This window comes from Homo sapiens, chromosome 3, assembly GCF_000001405.40.
Source record: "Homo sapiens chromosome 3, GRCh38.p14 Primary Assembly".
Lineage (NCBI taxonomy): Eukaryota > Metazoa > Chordata > Mammalia > Primates > Hominidae > Homo > Homo sapiens.
The window spans coordinates 105866073-105891006 of NC_000003.12; the positions used below are offsets into that span (position 1 = coordinate 105866073).

The window sequence follows — 24934 nt, forward strand, 5'->3', positions numbered from 1 at the left end:
GTCTGGAGCACTTTAATATAACAATTTGAATAAATTGGCAGAAGCGTAAATAGGTCACACTGAAGCCCAAAACTAAGGCTATTTATCTGGCAAAAATATTCTGGCTCTGCATTTAGCACCATTGCCTGTAGAATGACAGGCCAGTCATTCATCTGTGTGTCCCTTCCATCAGAATAAATGAAAATAATGGAAATCTTGTCACATTCATATGTTGCTACTACTACTGATAGTGGCTTTTATAGCCAATATTTACAGACAGGAGCAAATCAAAGCAAAGATGAATGTTATCACATGATTTCATGGATGCTTTGGCACATCCTTACACAGAAATTTGTTTTTAAAACCTCCATTTCTTCAGTTATAAAGATACTGAGTCTTGCCTCAACTAAACTTATAATTGGCCCCAGATATCTATGAAATAAAGTCATAATGTGTTCCAAACATTTACTAATAAATCCAGGACAGTGCTACTGCTTCAAAAAAAAGAATTATTAATTTTTGCAAAGCAGCAAGCTACATCTTAAATTTATTTTATAATCATACTTAGTAAGGTAGGATACTGACAGCTACAGTTTCTGAGTAAATCTCTGTAAGGTATTCAGATTGACTTCTCTGGATACTGACACCCATCATGATTTCTTCTTGTGAAATTATAGTTTGTCTGAAAGCAACATGCAGAAACCACAGAGGTTTCTGATACTCTCAGCCTCACCACCCCCAACATAAATTTTCCTTTCACAATAAACAATGTGCCATCGAAAGGTTTCCTGTTTCAAAATGGAATAGTAGATGAAAGAAACTGTTAACTCTCCCATTAACAACAAAAAAAGTTTCTTAATGAAGATGAATTCTCAAAGATGAAAATGGAAACTCCCTCAACTACTGCTTCTTCACTTAAGAACTAATCTGTTTCTTTCCCCAGTAAATATTTTCAGTATCATACCAGATGATTGTCATGAGTGGTCAAAGACTTAAATAACCTGCTGGTACTCTTTTGTTATCTAAGAGCAACACAACCTCACAGAAGACAGAACAAACACTTCCAAGCATTCTATGGCCATACACCAACAAAAAGCAGCCAATGGTAAAACTTTACATACTGAGTCATGTAGAGGAACTCTGAACCTTAAAGAGTAGAAAGGATGAAAGGTTAAAAAACAAAAAAGTCTTTGAATCCAACTTTTCAAAAAACACAGAGTTGAAGAAAAATGATGAATTGAAATCAAAAGATTGTTGCCATAACAATGGTTGGTATTAATTAACAGTATAAATAAATCTGGAGAAACCACAGACAAAGTGAATAGTGTTTCGCACAGGCAACGTCAGACAGAACTTACCACTTTGTCCATGAGCTTCCAAGTCTTCTCCACGGTCCTGCGATCTGCGGCAGCTTGCTTAGGGGGTCCAACTGCATCCTGAATAGCATCAATAATACCCAAAATTCGACCTTTTCGGGGATTTCCTCCTCGACCACCAGGGTTTCTGCCATTCATTGAGTTTGCCATCTGGAATTTTAGTTCTTTAAAAGGCAGATTTAAAAAAAGAAAAGTTAGTTGGTTTTGAAAATATTTACCCACCAGAAAACTAGAGACTAACTTGTACCACTGCATCTTCCTCCATCGATTAGAGCAAAACCAAAAGTTCCGGATTCATCTTTATCAATAAGCTTGTGAATTTACACTCTCAATCTTTACACACAGTAGTTTTAAGAGCAGTGATCCTAGATTTGCTTTTACAATACTAAGAGTTAAAGATGCATCCTGCTCACGTTTCAAGTAGCTAAGGCTGAACTAATACTCAACTCATAAAAAAAAAAAAAAGAACAAACAAAACTTAAACAGGTTTCCCCCACCTAGATAAAAACAGAATGTTCTTCCCCTCCTGCCTTAATTCCAATTCAAAATACCAGAACAACTGAAGGTCCTATCATACATTTTGGGAGCCTTACGCAGAAACTTCACTTTCACTCTGTTAGATTTCTCCAAGTTACATAAACATAAAGATTATCCTACACAAACGTAAGGGACAGCTCTGTTGTCAACAAAAGCGCAGGGCATGTCCCACACTAAAACCACCAAGTACGGACACACGAACACCTTTCTTTAAATCAACGCGGTGAGTCGTTATTCCCAAGAACCAAATGAAATTAACACACAAATAGCCCATTTGAAAAGAGAAAAGAGAAAAATGACAAGAGCGGCCACGGAAAGGAGGAGTTCACTTCTCTGGCTCCTCGCCTCTGCCCTCAACCCAAAGCTTTGTTTCAGGACGCCTGTGTCCCTTCCCTGCTCAGGCCCCTTCCCGGCCCCTCGGGTCTGAGCTGCAGGAGGAAGGTGGACTGGGAGGGGACAAAGTGTCCCTCCCGTGCCCGCAGCACCGTCCGTCTAGGGCGCGGGAGGGACACTGTGGGCTCGGCGCCTGGGTGGACGCGCCTCCCGGCCGCCTGCTGCAGTCCTCACCGCCGTCTGCCTGGACGCCCTCTCCCTCCTCCCCGGCCTGCGGGTTCTGGTCTTTAAATGCCCCACTTCAAACTGGACGGCGGCGGCAAAGGCAGCTGAGAGCCAGGGCTGTCCCCTCTTCCTCCTTGGCCCGCGCCTGGCTACCCCGGGCCCCCGGGCCGGCAAGAAGTGTGGAGCCTCCCCGGCGACCCCTTCCCTTCTTGCCTTTCGGCGCCGTAGCTGTCCAGAGACACGCGTGTGCGCGGGTCCCACTCCACACGCACGCAGCCCAGTGTGTGTGGGGAGCCCCGGCTGGGAGTGGGATCGCTGAGAACAGCTCGCTCCCGAAGAAGGAGCAACCCAGCGCGCAGGCCTCCGAGACGTGGAAACGCAACAATTACCGTCAAGACAAATCCACACCCGCTCTCCCCTCCCGCCCGACTCGGGGAGGCCGCGGGACGCCGCAGCAGCACTAGCAGGAGGAGGAGACCGCTCGCTGGACACCCCACCCCTGTGGCACACACAGGACCCAGGCTCGGGGCGGGGCGGGGCGGGGGCGGGGCCGGGCGCCGCTGAGCCAATGCCGCGCAACCGCGCACTGCCCGACAGCGGGTGCAGCCAATGGACGGGAGGCGCCCGTCCTCCTCGCGCTGCCGCCCCGTCCACGTCCTCCACAGTACACAATGGCCCCAGAGGAAGGCCCGCTCGCAGCACGTCAGAAAGGAATTGGACTCGGAGAGAAATGAGGGGCCTGGACTCTCCCGGGAACGAAAGTGGAAACGGGAAAGGAAATGGACGAAGGGATGCAAGGCACGAAGGAGCTAACCAATAAGGGGTGGCAGGTGGGCGTGAGCGTCGGGACCGGGAGCCAAAGCCATCTGGGGCTGAAAGGCGGGACTTCCTGCTTCGCTTACCTTCCTAGTCTTTTGTTTCATAGCAACAGAGTAGTGGCTGGAAGGGTGTTGCTTCTCCGCTCTGGGCGGGTCCAACGCTGGAGAAATTCATCTCCCTAGGGCTGCCAAACCCTTCTACCCAGGACAGCAGCCAAACAGGTCTATGACGTTGCTTCTTGTTGGCTATCAAAAAGAGCAACAGCCACTGAGCTTCTAAAATGCAGAATAAATCTCACAGAGAGTAGGCTGGGGTGACATCTGAATGCCAACTGAAACTTCCCAAGTTTCCGAGTTTCTCTTTTGCTGTTAGTTTTAGAGGGATTGCAGACCAAACATCAGGCTGATGAAAAAGCAAATAGTTGACAACGCTGGCCAAACAGTCTCTGCTAATCATGCCAAAGCAATAAAAGTACCAGATAATGGGAATTGCTGATAAATACCTTGCACCTTTTTACTTAGTGCAAGTTTCTGCCTAAATGACTGAGGAGGAGACAGCTACTGTGTTTTGTCGGAGTCACCTTTACATAGATTTCTATCCATTTAAAAACAACCTTACTGTAGCTGCCATTCTCTACCAGCATTGTTACCTCTTTCTGTGGCTCCCTTCTTTGTGCTCTTAAAAAGGCCGACATCTGGCTAGTCTTTAAAGGAGAAAGCTACTGTGCTGGGACTTGTCTTTCAGCAATATCATAGGTTAAACAAATGCCTTCCATTTATTTCAGTTTACTTCAATCCCACCACTCATGCTACCAACAATTGCTCTGGACTTCATACTTTGGAACTTTCTTTCCACTACAGTTGATAGCGTTTATTACACTTTTCAGCTTGGACATCTCAGATGTTCTGATATTTTACATTGGGTTTTTTGTTTTTGATTTTGTTTTTTCAAATCTTGCTCTAACCACGTAACCTGATAAAATGTTTCTCAATGGTTCTAACCACTTTCTAGCAACTAAGAATTTTAATACTGTAATTATTACTATGAAGGATCCTGAGTTTTCCTTTACAGCCTTGAATTTACATGGTTAAGATTTTAATTTGACGAAAACAGAAAAAAAATGTGCCTTTGCAACCAGTCAGGTGATAAAGTGTGATTCAGGAAGTAATTTTGTTTCCTTGTCATTATTTCTGTGCCAGTAATTAAAGAGTAGTTCCTTGTTTTCACATTGCATTTATCTACAAAAGTGCTGGCCTCTCCATATCTCCTCCACCCATCCATATCTCTTTTACTCATAGTCGTAGTAGCTACATTTACTAAGGGGAGACTGTAAAAGAAAAAAACTGTGTTACCTTTAAAATAAATTTTAAAAGAATTAATGTGTAGAAGCATGTAGCAAAACAGTGGCTTAAGGGAACATTATAACTAAGTATATTACTTATATTCATATCTGGATAAATGTAAAATACCCAAAATACATGTTATAGCATGTGCCATTCCTTTTATATGGTGTTTTGCAACTGAAAGAGATGAGTTAATGAGAAAATGGCATTGCCTATGGTATCAAGCATATCATGTTGATATAAATTACAAGTTTTGAGGTGTATGGTTTGACGTATTTTGAAATATATGTATGTGAGATACGGTAGCATCCCTTACCACTTATTTGCCATCTCACTTTCCTTGGTTCTAGTTACCTGTGGACAACCAGGGTTTGAAAATAGGTGAGTATAGTACAAAAAGATATTTTGAGAGAGAGAAAAATACCACATTTATATAACTTGTATTACAGCATATTGTTATTATTTTATTAATAGTTATTGTTATTAATCTCTTACTGTGACTACTTCATAAACTTATCATAGGTATGTATGTATTGGAATACTCATAGTATATATAGCGTTCAGTATTTTCTGAGATTTCAAGCATGCACTGTGGGTTTGAGCATATCCTGTGGATGAAGGGAACTGCTGTATGTACATATGTACGCATGTGTGTGTGTGTGTGTGTGTGTGGTCAAGAAATTATAGCTTATCATCAACTAGCTATTTTATCAAGCAATCTGGAATCCAGGTTAAGTTCTGGTGTAGCAGGGTTCCCAGTTGAGCTGAAACTCGGATTCAGTTTGGTTTTCTCTCATAAACTGATGGAGCAGTAGAAGTCCTCCCTGCCAATTATTAGAAAAAGTAAATGTGCACGGGGAATAAATAACTGCTGGGATAAAACTTCAAACCCCGGGTGCCTCCAGTAGAGACACAAGAGATAAAGCACAATAAAAGATGCATGCTTCAGGACTATAAATAAGAAGACAAAGAAATGTTTCCATAAGAGATTTTAGGACATAAGCAGTAGTACTTCAAGCTGACAGAGTTGGCTAGAGAAACAGTCACCTCATTTCTATAGAACAAGTCAGTCCCCAGTAGGGTGCAGTTTAAAGTGAATGCAGCATCAGTTAGCAGTGTGGGAAATTGTAACCTAGAAAGAACATGTATATGGCCTTATTACGGGACAGCAGTGTTCTACTGGAAGATCCTGACATAAGACAGAATGGTGGCGCTCCTACATGAAGGATCTTGTAAGCACAAGGGTGGCTAGTAAGTGAGTAATGTGAGCAAACCGGTCATAAGGACATGTGAGACCCTTCCCCCAGGTCTCCCAGAAAAGAGGGGGAGACTTCGTGGCAAGAATACTTAAGAAATTATGTAGAAACAGCTGTGAACCCGTGTAATTTGAGCATTACTGTTTGACATTAATATATGTACCAATAGGCTGGTGCCATCTAGAAAAATGCGGCTTAAATTCCAGTCTGTAAACACAAGACATTAAGGAAAAAAAAGACAATTATTTGAGGAAAATATTTAGACTTTTGTCATTTGCTTTAATTTTTCTTTTCTTCTATTTTTTCCAAATTCACAACTGACCCCTGTGATATTGGACATGAGTTGACTAAATAACAAAGCCCCTCCATAACTTATGTAACCCATAATAGCTCAAAAATATTAATTGAATAAATGAATTGACTGTTTAAGAGTATTACATACAAAATATAATGCTGTTCCTGTTTCTGCACAATGGAGAATTCATTTAATTCACAATTCCAAGCAAGATTTTATTTTTACTATTAAGTAGATTTACAGTGACGATCCTAACACAAAAACAGAATACCACAACAGAAATTTCTAATTTCTCATAGAGAACACGGACCCAAATCTCAGGTTAGAGAGAAATAAGAGCAATATGACCTCGTAATATTTGGGCATAACAAGTTGTTCTTTGTTACGTGAAATAGAGTTCCATTCATCATTAACCCATTACATTTAATAGTTGGCATTGAGGGATGCTGATCCAGGGGCTCATCAGATATAACCAGACTCTGAGTCCTAGCTTGGGCTCAACTAGAATGCTAGCTTAACAACAACAGTATTAACAACAAAAATAACAATGACTTAAATAAGATAAATCTCTCACACATAGAAAAAGGTCTGAAAGTAGGAATTACAGGTAGATATGGTGGCTCCACAATTTTCTCAAGGACCCAAGTTCCTATCTTTATTCTGTACCATCCCAGCCTTGCTTCCCACCTTCAGAATCACGTCGTGTTCCAAGATGGCTATTGGCTCTCCAGCCATCACCACTGATTTTCAGGCTAAAAGCTAAGAGGAAAGGCAGGAGGGCAAATGGATCTTCCATCTGAGTTAGTTTCCTTTGACCAATCTTCAGAGAACTCTCACAAGTATCTCTCTTAAACAACTCAAGGCCAGAATTTAGTCCCATAGCCAAATTTAGCTGCAAAATCTGGAAGGCAATATGTTTTTTATTATGGGAAGCAATATAAAAATTCTAGTTTGTTTCTAAAGAGAAAGGGATGAATAGATGTTGTAGCAAGAAACTGGCGAGTCCTACCACAATAATACTCTAAAAGTTAAATATATTATTAATAATTCACTTCTTGAAGGAAAAACTGAAGATCCCAATGCAAGTGGTGTAAGATAATGATAATTTTGTATACTCATTTGAAATCCAGAACAATATGTGCATGCACACACACACACACACACACACACACACACGTAATCTTAACATCATTCCCTTAGCCATATTTATTAAAAGCTGCAACCATTTCTTTAGTGGGCAGAAACATGCATCTGCTATTACTAGACACATATATCCTTTAATGTCTATCATATGTAAGTATATATAGTAAATTATATACAATTCTCATTACAGCATGTGTGCTCAATAATCCTGAACAATCAATATCAGAGCGTACAATGGCAAAATTAAGCAAGAAACGTTCCTAATAGTTTTCCATCCCAAAGTTTACTTCAGATTAAACAGTTACATATCTGAAGAACAAATGAATGTCTTCACAATCACTTCTTTGTGATTTTCTTTCCCAGACAATTGATTCCCAAATCAATTCTTTTCCACACAATGATTTATTTGGTAGTTGTTCTCTGTAATAAAGACGATTTATACCAAAGCATTAAATATTGCTACTTGTAAACTTGGAGTAAACCTACTATTTTGTCTCAGTTCTATATTTTTTTCATGCCCCTCTCACGTTTCCTGTGTTTCCCTAAGAAGCCATGATTCAAAAAAAATGGACAATTTTCTTTTCCCTCAAGATTTTTGTGAAGAATGTAAAGTTAGAATTTGTTATAACAGTGTCTCTACAGTCCCCATGCATTTTGATTAATACCAAATAAATACAACACTGAATTTTTATTTTTATTTTTTAATTAACAATATAAATTCAGAAATTTTAAGGCTGAAGGGGATCTTGGTACTGATCACACCACTCAGTTTGCCAGATGAGGAAATTGGCAAATTTATCCAGGGTGATTGAACCCTAAAAGGTGTAGGTAATAAACCTAAATTCATGGATTATGTTATAGTGTAAAAACCATGTAATTACATGAAAAGTAACTGCTAATCAGAATAAAATTAACATAGACCAGTTATATGTTCATTTTTCTACTCAAGAAGGCATATTAAGATCCAAAACAAATATAGAAATCAGAAGAAAATGACCTACAGAAGTAACTCTAACAATGCCAGTAGAGATCTAATATATTGCAAATCTACAGAAAGTCTTCCCTATTGGTTTTCAAGTTCCTATTCTCAGTATAAAGGAAATGATCTTTTTCTATTTTAATTATCTTGTTTGTTTTAGGGGACAAAACTTATTAGGCACCTATCTTTATGTTATCAGCTAAAATTTCTGATTTCTTATTCACTCATCTATTTAATGTGCCTTTTTTAAAGTACCTAATATATTCCAAGCATTATGCTGGACATCAGGATGTACAAAGATGATTATGAACCAGTCATTGTTTCCAAAGAGAAAGGAACATAAAGAGATTATTATAAACTCAAGTGGTAAAAGCAGTAATTTCTATAGGCAGAGGTCATTATGAGAACTGAGGAAAGGCACTCAACCCAGCTTGGAGAAAGTAATTACTAAACCAAGACATATACGATAAATAGGATTAATAGTTAATCACAGGAGGATCATTCTAGTCAGAGGAGAGCTCATGAACAAAGCCATAAAAGAAAGAAAGCTGAGTATGAAGAGAGAATAAGAGGCCAGGTGTGGTGGCTCACGCCTGTAATCCCAGCACTTTGGGAGACTGAGGTGGGTGGATCACCTGAGGTCAGGAGTTCAAGACCAGCCTGGCCAACATGGCAAGACCCCGTCTCTACTAAAAATACAAAAATTAGCTGGGTGTGATGGTGGGTACCTGTAATCCCAGCTATTCGGGAGGCTGAGGCAGGAGTATCACTTGAACTCGGGGGGTGAAGGTTGCAGTGAGCCGAGATCACACCATTGCACTCCAGCCTGGATGACAAGAGTGAAACTGTGTCTCAAAAAAAAAAAAGAAGAGAGAATAGGAAAAAAGTCCATTTTGTGGGAAGCAGAGAACAGTAAACAAAAGGCAAAAAGTGGCAAGTGATGCATAAGTTAAAATATGGCTTCATGTGCCCAATTAAAGAGCTAGGATTTGATTTTTTTTTTCAAGGGAAGATACTGAAGGATTCTAAGCCAGGGGAGAGTGTATATAATAGAAACAGAAGAGGCAAGGGAGATGATTTTGTAACATTTCTATTTGAGAATGTTTACCCTAATGGCCGGGTTGATAATGGATCGGAGGGGGTAGGACTGAAGGCAGAGTGGCCATATATAGGAGATACCCATTAAGTGACGATGAGGACCTGAAATGGGGCAGAGGTAAAAAATAAGTGACATCTGAGAAAAGTGGTTTCCATTCCTCTCTGCACATTAGAAAAACAAATTCTAGGGCCTTACTCCCAGAGATTCTGTTTTAATTGATCTAATATTTTTAAAGATCTCCAGGTGATTCTAGTTAGCAAGGGAGGCTGAGAACCACTGATTAGTTAATTTAGTGGTCTTTGATAATTACAGAAATATGAGCTGTGCAAAAGATGGAGGAGTCAAGAATAACTGCCAGTGTGCTAGTTTTAATTACTGGGTGAAAGCCTCAACAACTGGCATAGAGAATATTATAGAACAATCTATTTCAGGGAAAGAAAGAATGAACTTAATTTTGAAAATGGAAAATTTAAGACATCTATGGAATAAGCAGATGTTTATTAGATGATCGAATATAAATGATCACGTTTGGCAACACTGACAATTGAGTAATACCTGAGAGTTATTAAACCATAAAAGGAGATTACATAGGATAAAAAGAGCACTGAGATGATAATTGAACCCTGAGGAACAACATTCAGAGAATAACAGAAGAAAAAGATATTATAGACAAACAAAGGACAAAATAGATAATCACAAAAAAAAAAGTTGAGATTTCCATGTTCCTATGGAGTGAGCAACAGTTTCAATACAGGAAAGAGCTCCAATTTATTTTAAAAATTGCAGGCCAAGCGGAGTGGCTCATGACTATAGTCCCAGCACTCTGAGAGGCTGAGGCAAGAGGATCCCTTGAAGCCAAGAGTTTGAGACCAGCCTGGGCAACATAGTGAGACCTCACCTTTACAAAAAATACAAAAATATCTGGGCATGATGACGCTCACCTGTAGACCCACCTACTTGGGGGACTGAGGCTGGAGGATCCCTTGAGCACAGGAGTTCGAGGCTGCAGTGAGCTAGGATGCTGCCAGTGGACGGACTCCAGCCTGGGTGATAAAGTGAAACCCTGACTCAAAAAATAATTTTTTTTTTGCAAAACATTCATAGGCTATAACAACTGGAGATGAGAAGAGAAACATGAGAAACGTGGATAAGAGAATTTAAATAGTACCTGTACAAAAATGCAGGTTATGTGGGGAAAGAAGAGAGCAAAATCTTGGAATGAGAAATTTAAAGAGTGTATATGTTGAGAGATAATTTTAAAAGGAAGAGATTAAAGGGCATGTCACCCGATGAGAATGGAAAAAAGGAGACCTCTGCTATAAAAAGAGCAATACACAGATATACAGTCATGCACCCCAGAACAACATTTCAGTCAGTGACATACCACATATATGACTGTGGTCCCATGAAATTATAGTACCATATTTTTACTGTACCTTTTCTATCTTTAGAAATACAAATCTGACCAAGCCCATCTGACCAGGCCTTCTTTACTTAACCAATTTCAAGTTTCTATGACTCTATGCTCTTTAATGTCAGAGCTCACCCACACTGTACACATTGTACTCAGATTGTGTTATGTTTTTTTTCCAGGCAAGTTCCTGTTCTCTCTCAGTCTTCTTTCCTCCAACTGACTGCTGAAAAATTATGACAAATTTTCTCACACTGACAGTTATATGAGCTTAATATGTTATTTTTTCCCAAATAGTTACCTTTTATGCAGGAATAACAGGATGTCATCATTTGGTAGTGTTTTATGCCAGTGTCATGCTTGGGTAGGATTGATGATTTTGATTATGTGCACCCCCACGCAGTCAAACACCTCCCCAACAGGAAGTCATTTCGTCTACTTACATACTGGTTTTTTTTTTTCTGTCATGTCTTGTTTTTGTTTTTATTTTGCTTGCTGATTACAAGAAAACCTCAATCTCCAACAGAAAAAGAGAAAATGAAGGAGGCTTCATGTTGCTATTTAATCTTTGGTATTAAGGAATAAACAGATGTACATTTTAAATATAATTTCATGACCAGCAGGCAAGGACAAGAGGCAGGGTGAGGTCAGGAGATATGTGTAGCTTATACCCTCTATATAATACAAAGGAGTATTCATATGAGTAATACCAATAAAATATAGATCAAAGCCTTTCTTACTACCTAAGGTGAACTGAATATAAAGAAAAATGAATTTGAAAATAAAAGGCAGCATTTTAGAAGGCAGTCTTGGGAAAGGGACTGGGGTGATGAAACAGTTGATTTCCTACACTTCTTCATTCCCTATGCCTGCTCTCTAAATGACCTATTTTTAATGCTTCATCTTATTCTCACAAGTCTCAAGAATATTGTGAAGAAGGCAATCAAAATTGCAAACATTGATTTTTAAAATATATATATACATAAAGGATAAATGACGGAATTGTTTGTGTTGAATGTCAACAGCAGAGAAAGAAAGACCTAACTACCTAGTTAGTCAGTTTCCTAAAGGAACCTGACTTAGAAAAAGAGGTTTATAAAAATTTGGGGGGAAAATAGCCACTTCATTTCTTCCTGGTTACCAAATATCTCGACAGTCTTTTCTTTTTCAGTTACAAATAAGTCTGCCAAAAAGAAAAGCAAAATTGTTTACCTACCTACCCTACAACTCTCTTTTCTTTTTCTCAAGTTCTTCCTTACTTGGTTTTTAAAGCATGAAACAATCCTCCCATTGCATCAACATATACAAAGAATAGCCAGGGAGTCTTTGCTCTGGGTCAGATACAAGATAATTCTTGCATGAAATTAGCTATTTCTTGGCAGAGCTAAAAATAACAAACTGTTTGAGATTTTACCATGGCTCATCCAACTTTGAAACAAGCTTCTCTTCCAAATTCCTTGTGGATAACTCGTCCTCTGCCTCTTCAACCTTGAAGTACCTGATGGAAGCATTTTCTTTCATAGGTGAATGCTTCCTTTCCAAATTCACAGAGAATTGCCACATGTTTTCTCAGGGTCTAATGTTGTAGGAAGTAAGTGTTATTGTAGAATTGTTATTACATATGCACAATTAAACCATATTATTTGTAAAAAAAAAATTAACAGGGATATATTATAAATCTGGAGCTTCTTCAAACACACTGTAAATGGAGTGCTACCAGCTTATTCAACACATATGTACATAAATATGTAACTACAGTGCTTACTATAAACTAAGACAAAAATGGATGTTTAACTTGGGCAAGAGAGGTAAGGAAGTACACCAGAGAGAAAGTATGCTAGACCTTCCAGGATATTGAGTGAAGGAAATTGAAGTTCAGAGATGGGAGTTAAAATTGGGGGATGAAGTGCAACACAAATAATCAAGTCTCGACGTCCCTAGGAAAGAACGGTATCAGCCCCCATACCAGAAAGGTCACAGTGAGAATGACAAAATTCAATACATAATAAAAATTAAGTTATGGGAATTTTTGAATTTTTTAATTGGGAGTTTGTACCAATTCTGTAGTCAAAGGAATTTTTAAAAAGGGAAAGAGGTAAAAGGTAAAATAAAATTATTATTTAAGGGATGTATTATTGGTATGGTAGAGTATCTAAGAAAATATAGAAATGAGGATACTGGTAGCAAGGGCTCTTGTTAGCAGGCTATCTACCTGGTTTGGGTTTGAGCAGATTAGGATCTGGGAAAATGTGGCAGCTCCAGCAATGAAAAGAAGTTAAAAATAATGAATATTAGACATACGTTTTAAAGAAAAAGGATCACGACTTTGATTTTCATTAAATATGATTTAGAAAAGAAGTAAAAAAGAACATTTATTTATAAATATATGTAGATATAGATATATACTTTTATCAAAGATATGTATATAACATACATATCTTACTTAAAAAAACATAGGGAAGTCAAGAAGGGGAATAGAATTGGGGTTATATCACAATTCCTAACAATATCTGGTTAAATAATCATTGGTTTGATAGATGGGGAAATAGCTTAGGATAGAGCAAAATCTCTGGGTTAGGAAGATTCAATGCTTCAATTCCAAATACAACCCCGCTTTGTGATATAACAACCTTTGCTTAAACACAAAGAGAGTATTCTGTTCCCACTTAGGTACTTCTCTTTATGGGAAGAAAGCTGTTCCTTGCAAGCAGCCAAAATCTATGTACTTAGACATGTCTCAGTGACCTCAATTCTCCCAATTGGGGCCATAAAGAGAAATGCAATGTGCGTTTTGGTAGAAAAGTCTTTACAGTATATTAACAAGACAACATAAAGTTTCCTGTACCTTCTATTATTTAGGATAAATAGTCTAAGTTTTTTAAACTGGTCTTCAAATTATTTGCTATTTCTTCACTTTCTGGTATTTCTCTCTTAAAATATAATGTTCATGTATGAATACTCTTGCAGACACTGTCTCATTACCAAGCATATTTAGACTTGTTCATTTTACACATAATAAATTTATTAAGACAGCCTTTTCTTTTTTTTTTTTTTTTTTTTTGAGACGGAGTCTCGCTCTGTCGCCCAGGCTGGAGTGCAGTGGCGGGATCTCGGCTCACTGCAAGCTCCGCCTCCCGGGTCACGCCATTCTCCTGCCTCAGCCTCCCAAGTAGCTGGGACTACAGGCGCCCGCCACTACGCTTGGCTAATTTTTTGTATTTTTTTTAGTAGAGACGGGGTTTCACAGTTTTAGCCGGGATGGTCTCGATCTCCTGACCTCGTGATCCGCCCGCCTCAGCCTCCCAAAGTGCTGGGATTACAGGCGTGAGCCACCGCGCCCGGCCTAAGACAGCCTTTTCTACCACCGATGTGGTCTGTCAGGTCATTGTTTTGTTTAAGCTCGAGTCCATTTCATCCAAAAATACTACTTAGTTAATTTTTTTGCCCATCTTTTTGATTGCCTAAATAACGTTATTAATTATAACTTTCTCATAATCCATCAGTTAAAACATGCACACACATATATATACACACATACACACACACACACACACACAAACTCTAGTGATCAATAGGACCATTTACCATAGTAGCAGACACAAATCCAAGAAAGTTTGTCAAGTCTACCTTAAAGGATCTCTTCACTAGAATCAAAGGAAGAGTCTTCAAATCCACTTCAGATAATTTCTCTTACTGATTCAACATTCATGTAACAGAAGCCACCAAATGACATTTAGCTAATGCCTGAAATGGATAAGCTTATGAAGAATGGCTCAACATTTTTTGGCGATGTCATAAAGGTTAAGCTTCAATAAGAAAGAAATTCAAGAGAAGTCATTTTATAATAAACTCATATACAACATATAACTGAAGAGACATGCTGAATCAGTATTTGATGAAAATATTCTTACGCTTATATAATTTAGATGTGTGTCCTTTCATACATAGCAGATTCTAATATGTAATTCTTAACTAAATAAAGAAGCTTATCACTGTGGAAACAAAAATGTTTACTTGAAGTCTGAAATGAACTCAACTGGGTGGAATTTATCTCAGAGGCCTCAGTGATGCTTGTATCATAAAATCTACATTAAAAATAGAAAAAGAATTAAATATAATAATCAAAGCACAATGTGTGAAAATAAGTACTCGGTAAATGCTACCTTGATCCAAATAGTGAAAAATTGCGGGGGCAGGAAGAGATGCTGAGAGTAATGGAAACTTTTACAACAGTATAAATTTGATTAATAACCTGACACATTAAAAAAAAAAAAGCTGGTTCAGACTAAGCCAGAAAAGGTACAAATAGAACTTGAAATCATAACTTTTGATAAAGCAGAAAAGATACAGCAGTATTAAAAATGAATTATGCAGTGACTAAAGTTAACTGTAAAGGTTGGTGGTCGTGTATTTCAGTGGAGCCCACTCTGTTCACAGCCACAAACCAGATTTGTTACAGTTTCTGATTTAAGACATTACAGGTGTGGAGACTGTGGTAGGTAGAATCAGAATATTTATAGGCCCTAGAAGTGGACACTTTAAAAATTCCAGAGAGTGCTAAAATTTCATTACTTTTTTCTTTAAGGTAGTTCCAGAAAACAGTGGATTACTTTCCTTCTGGTAATAAAAATGGTAGCAGTGTCAGTAATTTCAGAAAGGAAAAATTAGCAGCAAGATTATTGCTACTACATTTACAGTTAGATAGAGAAGTCAGATTTTTCATTCTGATTCCATTAAAATGAGGAATAATTGAAAATTCTATTTCCTCCCCCACACAATGGAAGACTCATATTTCTAATAATCTTCACTCACAATTTTCAAAAGGAAAAAAATTATAATAAAATGGCAACACATTATACCAGTAGTCATACTAACTTATTTTTCATAAGCTTAAAGGTGTATTTGCAACTTAGAGATACAAAAGGAATTTTATAAACACTTAGGCTGAAGACCAATTTGTCAAGTCAGAACCCAAGGGGGAACAAACGTAGGAAAAAAGGTAAATGGGATAATATACTTTAAAGACTAGAGAGAGAAAGGCAACTGAAACCATTAGATGAATGTTGTCCTAAAATTCTTCTTTGTCCATTCACCAAACTATGAAAATAAAGGGGAGAGAAAAAAGAAGAGAGTGACCTTAAATTTTTAAAAAATGGCTAAATTATTTACTTGTCAATGTTGACATTTTGAAAAGATCAACAATTTTGGTTGAAACTATGTTTTCTCAGAAAACTGAACATCTTTGTCTAGTAATGGGAGGAAAAGCCTTTAAAATCCTTTGAAAATTAAATAGCTAAACTAATGATTTAATTTTAAATCAAGGTATGTTATTATTAAATATTCATTTTCCATTTTATTTAATAAATATTTATTAAGCATCTTTTATGTGCGGATGGAGATACGCTGGTATACACAGATAAACAAGTCAAAGTGTTGTACTAGAAATTCTGGTAGTTCAAATGGTAAAAACTCAATTCAAACCAGTTTAAGTAAAATGAAGGAAGGAGCCGGGTCTGGGGGAGTTGTGCTTTTATCCCCAGGCCCAACTGAGTTTCCAGATGCTCACACAACTATTATGTTGTTTCAGCATTGGTCCTATTTGTAAGCAGTATCCTCCCCCCAGTTGGTAGCAAGTTGGACACTGGCAGTTCAAGGCGTTCATCATTGTCACAGCTTATTATCCCTGTGAAAGTAGTCCCCTACTCCACAGTTTAAAGAAATTCTTGGCGGGGCGCGGTGGCTCACGCCTGTAATCCCAGCACTTTGGAAGGTCGAGGGGGGGCGGATCACGAGTTGAGGAGATGGAGCCCATCCTGGCTAACACGGTGAAACCTCGTCTCTACTAAAAATACAAAAAATCAGCCGGGCGTGGCGGCGGGCGCCTGTAGTCCCAGCTACTCGGCAGGCTGAGGCAGGAGAATGGCGTGACGCGGTGGGCGGAGCTTGCAGTGAGCCGAGATCGCGCCACTGCACTCCAGCCTGGGGGACAGAGTGAGACTCTGTCTCAAAAAAAAAAATAAAGAAAAATTGATTAGCCTGGCTTGTATCATTAATTGATGCCCCAAACAGTTACTGGAGCCATAAGATCGAAGGTCTGATTAGGGGGTTTCATTCCACCCACACGGAATGAGGATCAAGTGAGGAGATAGTTCTTCAAAGAGGTGCTAACTAGACAAAAACCAAGCGTCCACCTCAGGTATTTCATGGCCACAAGAGCTCTGTATGTAAGATGAATAAGATCTGAGTTTAGTCCTCACTCCGCTGATTACTAGTTTTGACCAGCCACCCAATCTCATTAACTCTCAGTTTCTTGTAAAGTAGGAACATAAATAGTTTATCTGGAAAGACAATGGGGTATTCTATTCATCGAATGACAATTCCAGGACAACACACTTGCCTAGTTTTATTTCTTTCTCACCAGACACCACTTCTTGTTGTCTTCTGCTGCATCCTCCTCTCGTAGTTAATTTCTCAGTGGGGAACGGACTAGTCCTCTGGTCTGCTCTTCTCCACCTGCAACATCTCTTTAAATGACCGCATTCTCTCTCATGGCCTTAAATACCATCCGAATATTTAATTTCAACTCTGACTTCTCCCTGCCACTCCAGAATCTTATATCTCTATATCTACTTGATATTTCTACATGAATATTTAATAAACCCAAAACAGAACTTCTGATATTATAAACCCTCAAGCCCATTTCCTCCTGCACATATTTATTTCGAAAATCTAGGGGTTACTCTTGATTCTGTTTCTTTCTTTACCTTTCATTTCTACCTTACTGACAAGTCATGTAAATTCTACTTCTAAAACTTAACCCAAACTCATTCCCTCTCTCCGTCTTCACTAATAGTCCAGCTCAAGAAATTATTGTCTGTTTACTATTAACCTCCTAAATTATCTCTCCTGCCTTCCTATATTCTATTCTCAGCAGAACAGCCAGAATATTCCAGTTAAAACGTAACTTAGGTCACAACACACAAAACTTTCAAATCCCACTCAGCTTCCTATCTCACTTAGAGTAAAGATCTTCATCTCTAGCATTACCTACAAAGCCCTGCATGGTCTGGGACACATTATCTTTCCTACCTCATCTCTTGACCATTCCTATTTCTCAACCACATTAGCTCATTCTTGCCTTAGGGGTTTCTTTCCAGCCTCTCCTTTTCCTGCTCTTCCCTTTCTCTTCTTCTCAGGCCTGATTCTTTCTAGTAGCTATCAGTTTAAATGTCTGGTAGCTATCATCTTTGCAAAATGTTGTTTTCCAATTAATCAAAAATGGCCACCCAATCTCACTCTATTACAGGAGTCTGGAAACTTTTCCTGCAAGTACTAGATAGCAAATATTTTTAGGCTTTGCAGGCCATATGTTCTCTATCACAGCTAATTGACCTTGGTGTTGCAGCAGAAAAGCATTCATAGACAATATATAAGTAAATGTGTTGCTGTGTTCTGATAAAACTTTATTTGCAAAAACAAGCCAGCATAGTTTGCCAATCCTTGTTCAATAACATCAAACTGTATTGATCCTCTGCTTAGCTGAATCTTATTTGTGTACTGTGCTTTTGTTTATTAGAATTTAAACTCCACTGGAGCAGCAGCAACCTTGCTTATCTCAATCATTATTTTGTTTCCAACACCTATTGCCTGGAGCATAAAGGGAAATACTTATTGAATGAATGAGTGGATAAATGAATGAATAAAACTAGTATGTAAAATCCAAAACAGAAAAAATGCAAACACCATCTCAGAGAGCTTACCTAATATTTCATTATGATAAGAAAGATTCGAAAATTGTTACTATTAGTAGGTGATTTTACTATTCAAAGGCTTGCCTTTATTCTTTAGGTACAATGATACCATATAATGATAGAAAGTGAAAAGGGAAAATTAAATTGTGATTATACCGTATATATTTTACAAATTCTACTCATTTTTGCTTTCCATTAAGATACTTCTCTTGCCAGTGCTTCTCAGCCTGCAGTGATTTTGCCCCCAAGGGAACGTTTGGCAATGTCTAAAGACATTTTTGATTATCGCTTCTTGTAGGAGTTAGGGTACTGTTAGAATCTAGAAGATAGGGGCCAGGGGTGTTGCTAAATGTCCTGCAGTGCACAGGACAAACCCCCACAACAAGGAATGACCCTGTCTAAAATGTCAGTAGGGCAGAGGTTAAGAAACTCTGTCTTAGGCTTGTTTCTCATGAAGATAGATTTTTGTTGTTTTTAGGGAAATTCTTACAGAATTTCTGGATGCTACCTTAGGCTGTGGACTAATGTTGAAAACTTCTGAGAAAGTAAATTGTATTTCTTAAAGGCCATAACTTTTATTTGAGATACAAAGCCATTCTGAAGGGTTCACTTCACATGGGGGAAGAGACAAGCCTTATTGTCACATTCATATTCCAAGAACATTCAGCCAATCCGATAAACTCTTTAAAGGAGTCAGACTTCAGACTGCATGTTCGTTAAGTGCCTACCACATTTCATAATATTCATTGGCCAAATGACAATAATGACAGTAAATTTGAGCTGACATCCTATTGCAGCAACAAAACAGGAAGGGAAGGAAGGAGCATTCCAAGGGCAAGAACAATACAGCAAATATCCTTTTATAGTTTTCATGTAAGCCCAGTGACTTTGTTGTTACATTGCTGATACTGTCTATTGTTGAGTTAACCTGGCTGCATGCCACAATATCTCAATAAGTTAAATGCAGACAAATAATAGCTGTAATTTCTTGACACTTGATGCTAGAGATAATTTTTCTCTTGTTTCTATTTTTCATAGATCTTAATAGAATATATCAAGAATCTGTTTATCTAAATACAGACCTATTATTGAGGATAATAAAGAGTACTTTCATAACCATTTACCTCATACTTACCTAACACAGCAGGAGAACAGGTGCGTGTGTGTGTGTGTGTGTGTCTGTGTGTGTGTGTGTGTGTGTGTGTGTTGAAGTTTTGAAGGGAGGGAGTCTAGACAACCAAAGTCAATGTTTGTACATCTTGATGCTGTTCATATCATTAAATATATAAAAGGGATTATACATGAACAATATGGGTAATTAGGTCTTCATGAAACTGCATAGAACTTTATTATTCAGTTTATTCTACTCCCAACCTCTGTGATTGTTTCTTCCCTGCCAATCTTTTGGGAATGTCTTCCTTCTATTTTCTTATGTTGGATATTTCTTAAAGTTCTGTCTTTGGTCTCCCTCATCTCATTCTGTATTCTGCTTTAGGATTTCATTTGCTCTAATGGCTTCAACTACCACTTCTGTGCCAACGACTTTCAGGTCTTTATCTCCACCTTTCCCCAACCTCAGAAATAGCTATTCTTCATTTTTAATAGCTATGGGTATATCTACTTGGAAATTGCAAATTCTCTTATTGGCTTAAATTGTGTATGTCTAAAACTCAGCTGACAGTTTCCTCTTTTTATGTGGAGCTTTTCCACTGATGCTAATACCATTTATCCCATTGGGTAATACAAAAACATAGAAATTACCCTGGCCCTTACTTCTCTCTAATGCATATCATATCGTAAAACCCTACCCTTTTTCCTCTGAAATATTCTTAAACAGGTTCACTTCTCCCCTGTTTCTCACTACCACACAGTCTATATTACCACTTTGTCTTCTGATTATGGTACTTTCATGCTTAAAAATTTTCAGTGTCATCCTCTTGCTCCTAGCTTAACACAAACTATAAGGCTGTACATGATTTAGCTTTCTTTCCCCTCTTTTCTGGGATTGCACCTTCTCTCCCCTTGCTCTCTGCTCCAGCAACATGGCCATCTTTCCACGTCTTAGACAACCATCTTCTTTCTCCTCTCCATCAGATTCTGTAGTGGGTTTGTTGTTGTTGTTGCTGTTGTTTGTTTGTTTGTTTGTTTGTTTTTGAGGCAGAGTCTGGCTCTGCCACCCAGGCTGGAGTGCAGTCATGCAATCTCGGCGCACTGCAACCTCCGCCTCCCAGATTCAAACTATTCTCATGCCTCAGCCTCCCGAGTAACTGGAATTACAGGCGTGCGCCAACCATGCCCAGGGTTTCACAATGTTTGCCAGGCTGGTCTTGAACTCCTGGCCTCAAGTGATCCACCTGCCTCGGCCTCTCAAAGTGCTGGGATTACAGGCCTGAGCTACCACGCCTGGCCCTGTCATGGTTGTAGCAGCATACACATGACCTCTGTTTTAGAAGGCCTTTTGCTGCCGTCTTCTTCTATTTGACTCCCTCTGCTTACTCTTCAGATTTCAGTTTAAGAGTCATTTTAGTGGGTGAAACAATCTCCCTAGAAGCACTAGAAGCACTTTTTCTCTGGTCTCAAGTGCTTGTCACATTTGTTACTTTCATGTTTATGTTTCTTTGTATTGTCAAGCATCAAAGGTGTCTTCCTCAATGAACTGTAATCTGTTTGCACTCAGCATTTCATCCCCAGCATTTAGCATAGCTTCTGGCACATAATAGAATATCAATCAGTATTTCTTAAAAGTATAAGTAAAAATTACTCATCATTTCAACTTACCAGTCCACCCCCAAAATTCTTACATTTCTGATTTCTCCAGTTCTGATAGCATTAGCATCATCTCCCAAACGCCAGTCCCAAATTTTCAGATTTACTTGGCTTCTGTCTTTCTCTCTTGGTATCACCCCTGATTGTTTGCCAGGTGCCATGGATTCTGCCTCTAGAGCATATCGTCCTATAAACTTTCTCAATGCCATTACTGCTCTTCCCTGGTGCAGGGAGGTGCTCCCCATCCTGTCCCTGCGCTATTACAAAATCACCCACCTGGATTCCACATATAATCTCTTCTTGTATCAATCTTTCTTTTTGTCTTCCAAAAATAATGTTCTTGTTGCTCCTATCATCAAAACGATTTTAGGGTACCAACTGTGTGTCTATTCAATACAGTATCTGGCATTTAGGTTCTCTATGATCTTGATTCGATGAACGTTTACCCAATTATTTCTAAACATTCTCTTTTTACAGATTATATTCCAATCAAACTGAAATATTTTGTGTGCTCAATACATGCCTTGCATTTACCACTTCTAGGACTTTCTCTGTACAACTTCTTCCCTATGGATTCCTGTCCTTCAAGCACAAATTCTACTTCCTCCATGGTCTTTTCTGATTCTTTCAGACAGACATAGCTCCCTCAAATGAAACACTACAAAACTTTTCACCATATAGTAGCTTGAGTTCATGGCTTATTTCCTTTTCTGGACTATTTTCTTGCAATCCAGGATTCTTTCTTATTTATCATTGTGTAGACTACAGTGTTTAACACCAGGAATTTGGACACAAATGATGTTCAAGAGATAGTTCCATTAATTGCTTCATTTATTTCTTTATTTTTCCTATGTACATTTAATCTATGAGTGATAAATACTTTCTTATGTATTTTATATTCTTTCAGTTTTTCCATATATTTTTTGAAAAGGGAGCCAAGAAATAACATTTTATGAAGCATGTCTCTTTTGCCTTTTAAGTGTTTCAGGCTGGGCACTGGGACTCACGCTGATAAATCTCAGCACTTTTAGAGGCTGAGACAGGAGGTTTGCTTGAGGCCAGGAGTTCCAGACCAGCCTGGCCAACAGAGTGAGACCCCGTCTATGCAAAAGAATTTTAAAAAAGAAGAGTACTTCATTTTTCCCCAAAATCAACAAAGTCATAAGAGTAGGATTTTTAAAGTATTTTTTGGGAACAATGAGCATAAATACTTGTTAAAATGTACACTTTTTTATACTCAAAGATGACATGAAATTCATAAACTGGTAAAAGACTGGAAAAAGATAAAATTTATCTAATTAGTAGCACATATGATAGCATGAATATAATAGCCCTGGAAAACTTTAAGTGGTTTTTACTACAACAGTTATATTCCTACTGTTCCTTGAGGGCATTAAACATCGCTGTTACTGACATTTTAAGCCAGGACAACTCACTATAGTATTCAGTTCCGTGCTAGTCAACCTAGAAACTGTAATTTTGAATTGCTAACAATACAGATGTTTTCCTCTTTTCTGAAAAGCGTACTAACCTTAAATGAAAACATAGTATTTTTAACAATTATACCTATGCTTTACCAAATGCCTTGCACAAATTTTTTGGTGAGACTCGTCTATATTTTAAAGTAGTCTTTATTTTCCATTTTAAATATTCTTTCTGCATAAACCATATAAGCATTACATTTTTTTACTACACAGATTTTTTTACCTTAAATGTCTTTTAAATACTTCATTGCTCCAAGCCATATGCACACACCCATATTTCAGTGTGATTAGTAAAGTGCACACAGTATAAAAGAGTTGTAGATTAAAAGGAGAATGTAAAAGTATAGAGTATAAAGTTTAAATACCATCTCTAAAGAATCTACACATATAAAAATCATGTTGGTAAAACCACAAACCAACCAATGCCTGGAAATCTTTCCTTTTCAAATTTCAAGGCTTTTCCAAACAGAGTTTTAAAACACTTAAGGCCTTTCTGTGAAGTAAATTTAATGTGCATATGTGCATACATGGAAGTGCTTAAAAATAAAATAATCCCATCTGTGGACCATTTTAAAATTTAACTCTTGTGGTCATAGGACCTAGAGTGAATGTCATCTTTCAAAATTGAGGTGTGCTAAGGAGACAAGCTATTATCTCTCAAGATACCTTGGTATGTGGCAAAGGATAGTTATTCACTTAAAATGAAATTACAATAAAGAAATCCTATTCTTTATGTTAACATAAACATTGCGTTTGTGTTAACATAAGTTAAACATATATTTGTTAATTTATTCTCCCTTAAGTGAAGGAACCAAGATAACAATAATGAGATAAAAAGCATTATTTAAAACAGTGACGATCAGTAAAATGTTGATGAAAAGACTCTATTTTAATAATGGCTGAATTGAGTTACTGGAATATCTTATTCTTTAATAATTGCAGCAGTGATAATTATTACTATTATTGTTATTTCTATATTTGGCAGCATTTTATACCTTCTATGTTTTAGTTTATGAAATTTATGGAAGTTATTTTGTGGTATACAAGTTTGCCTTGAGTATGACAGGTAACTCACATTTTGAACTTAACGTGTGACTATTTAATAGGTACCATGCATTATGTAAAGTATTTTACTTGTATTTTCTCAGTTAATTCTTCAATTCTTACAACGTCTCTATGTGGTAGGTATTGTTATCTCAATCTAAAGAATTGGTGTTTAGAAAATTAAGTAGTTTGCCCAAATCACATATCTGCTAAGGAGCAGACTCGGATTCAGACACAGGCCTGATTCCAGAGCCCATCCTTTTAATTTCTCACAATACAAACTTCCTAAACGGGGACATTCTGAGCTAAGACTGTCACAACATTTAATCCTAACAACAATGACATGATGCAGAAAATGCTGCCTGTGACTTAAACATTAAAATTGCAACACAGATAAATTAACTTGTGTCATTAACCTCAGCTAATGATTTTAAATTGAGGTCTATCTAAATTTAGAGCCCATGCTGTTTCACTATTCCGGTCCAATTGGACTTTCAGCAAGCATGGAAGTGATCTTTCTCTTTGGCTCTCCAATGAGATTGTCACTAGCCACATGTGACTATTGAACACTTGAAAGGTGGCTAATGCTACTGAGGAACTGCATCCTAAATTCTATTGAATTAAAATACAAATTTAAATGATACATATGGCTAATGGCTGCCAAACTGGACTGCACAGCCATCACTGAACTTTCTTATTCTGACCTTATAAGCAACATATAAAGAGAACTTTATGAAAAATTGTTAAATGAGCTCACTTATTAAATTAACTCAATTTTAAATAAATTGTATTATTCCTCATAAGTTAATCCTTTAACTCATTATAAACCAGAATTTCCAAGTAAAGTAACCCAGTGATTTATAATGCAGAACTCAAAAATTTTTCATTTGAAATTGTTGCTATAATTTTTTTCCAGTTGCTTTACTTCTCTTTAACTTCCTGTCAAATTACCTAAAAATAAAAATTAAAAAATCAAACATTTAAAATCATGTTAGGAAAATATTTCTGCATACATCCTTGACAGCCTCCCCCTTTCGCTTTCTGTATCTAGAAAATGTGAACTCAGCATCTAATCTTTCTCTTTAAATCTGTTT

At 37.8% G+C, this 24934-nt stretch overlaps 1 protein-coding gene and 1 long non-coding RNA gene across 42 annotated transcripts in view, besides 4 other annotated features; both read right to left on the reverse strand.

Annotated features, from left to right (window-relative positions):
• Positions 1-3377, reverse strand: part of CBLB (Cbl proto-oncogene B) — a 213989-nt gene extending 210612 nt beyond the window's left edge. For 13 of the 41 annotated variants that reach the window (NR_135808.2, NR_135809.2, NR_135806.2 and 10 more), the window contains exons 1-2: positions 2664-2940; positions 1338-1519 (exon numbers count right to left, since the gene is read on the reverse strand). Coding sequence is in view for 24 of the 41 variants with exons in the window: in NM_001321799.2 (NP_001308728.1) it covers positions 1338-1505 (168 nt within the window). In the remaining 17 variants the exon portion in view is untranslated. Of the gene's footprint in view, positions 1-1337; positions 1520-2096; positions 2310-2459; positions 2488-2663; positions 2941-3264; positions 3330-3352 lie in introns of those variants that run through there. The other 28 variants (NR_135811.2, NM_001321796.2, NM_001321806.2 and 25 more) reach the window with 8 other exon arrangements.
• Positions 812-861: an enhancer, noted in NCBI's record as "active region_20196". NCBI's record gives its function as "activates an Ori minimal core promoter by ATAC-STARR-seq in GM12878 lymphoblastoid cells {active_cell/tissue: GM12878}" and the evidence as "EXISTENCE:reporter gene assay evidence [ECO:0000049][PMID:35858748]".
• Positions 892-941: an enhancer, noted in NCBI's record as "active region_20197". NCBI's record gives its function as "activates an Ori minimal core promoter by ATAC-STARR-seq in GM12878 lymphoblastoid cells {active_cell/tissue: GM12878}" and the evidence as "EXISTENCE:reporter gene assay evidence [ECO:0000049][PMID:35858748]".
• Positions 1062-1151: an enhancer, noted in NCBI's record as "active region_20198". NCBI's record gives its function as "activates an Ori minimal core promoter by ATAC-STARR-seq in GM12878 lymphoblastoid cells {active_cell/tissue: GM12878}" and the evidence as "EXISTENCE:reporter gene assay evidence [ECO:0000049][PMID:35858748]".
• Positions 2909-3138: a silencer, noted in NCBI's record as "silent region_14583". NCBI's record gives its function as "represses an Ori minimal core promoter by ATAC-STARR-seq in GM12878 lymphoblastoid cells {active_cell/tissue: GM12878}" and the evidence as "EXISTENCE:reporter gene assay evidence [ECO:0000049][PMID:35858748]".
• On the reverse strand, positions 7492-14511 carry LOC105374024 (uncharacterized). The gene is made up of 3 exons (XR_007095990.1): positions 14423-14511; positions 12210-12371; positions 7492-7726 (listed from the first exon to the last, which is right to left on the reverse strand). It is a non-coding gene; the product is annotated as an uncharacterized LOC105374024 (long non-coding RNA).
• Positions 14512-24934: the final 10423 nt, after the last annotated feature.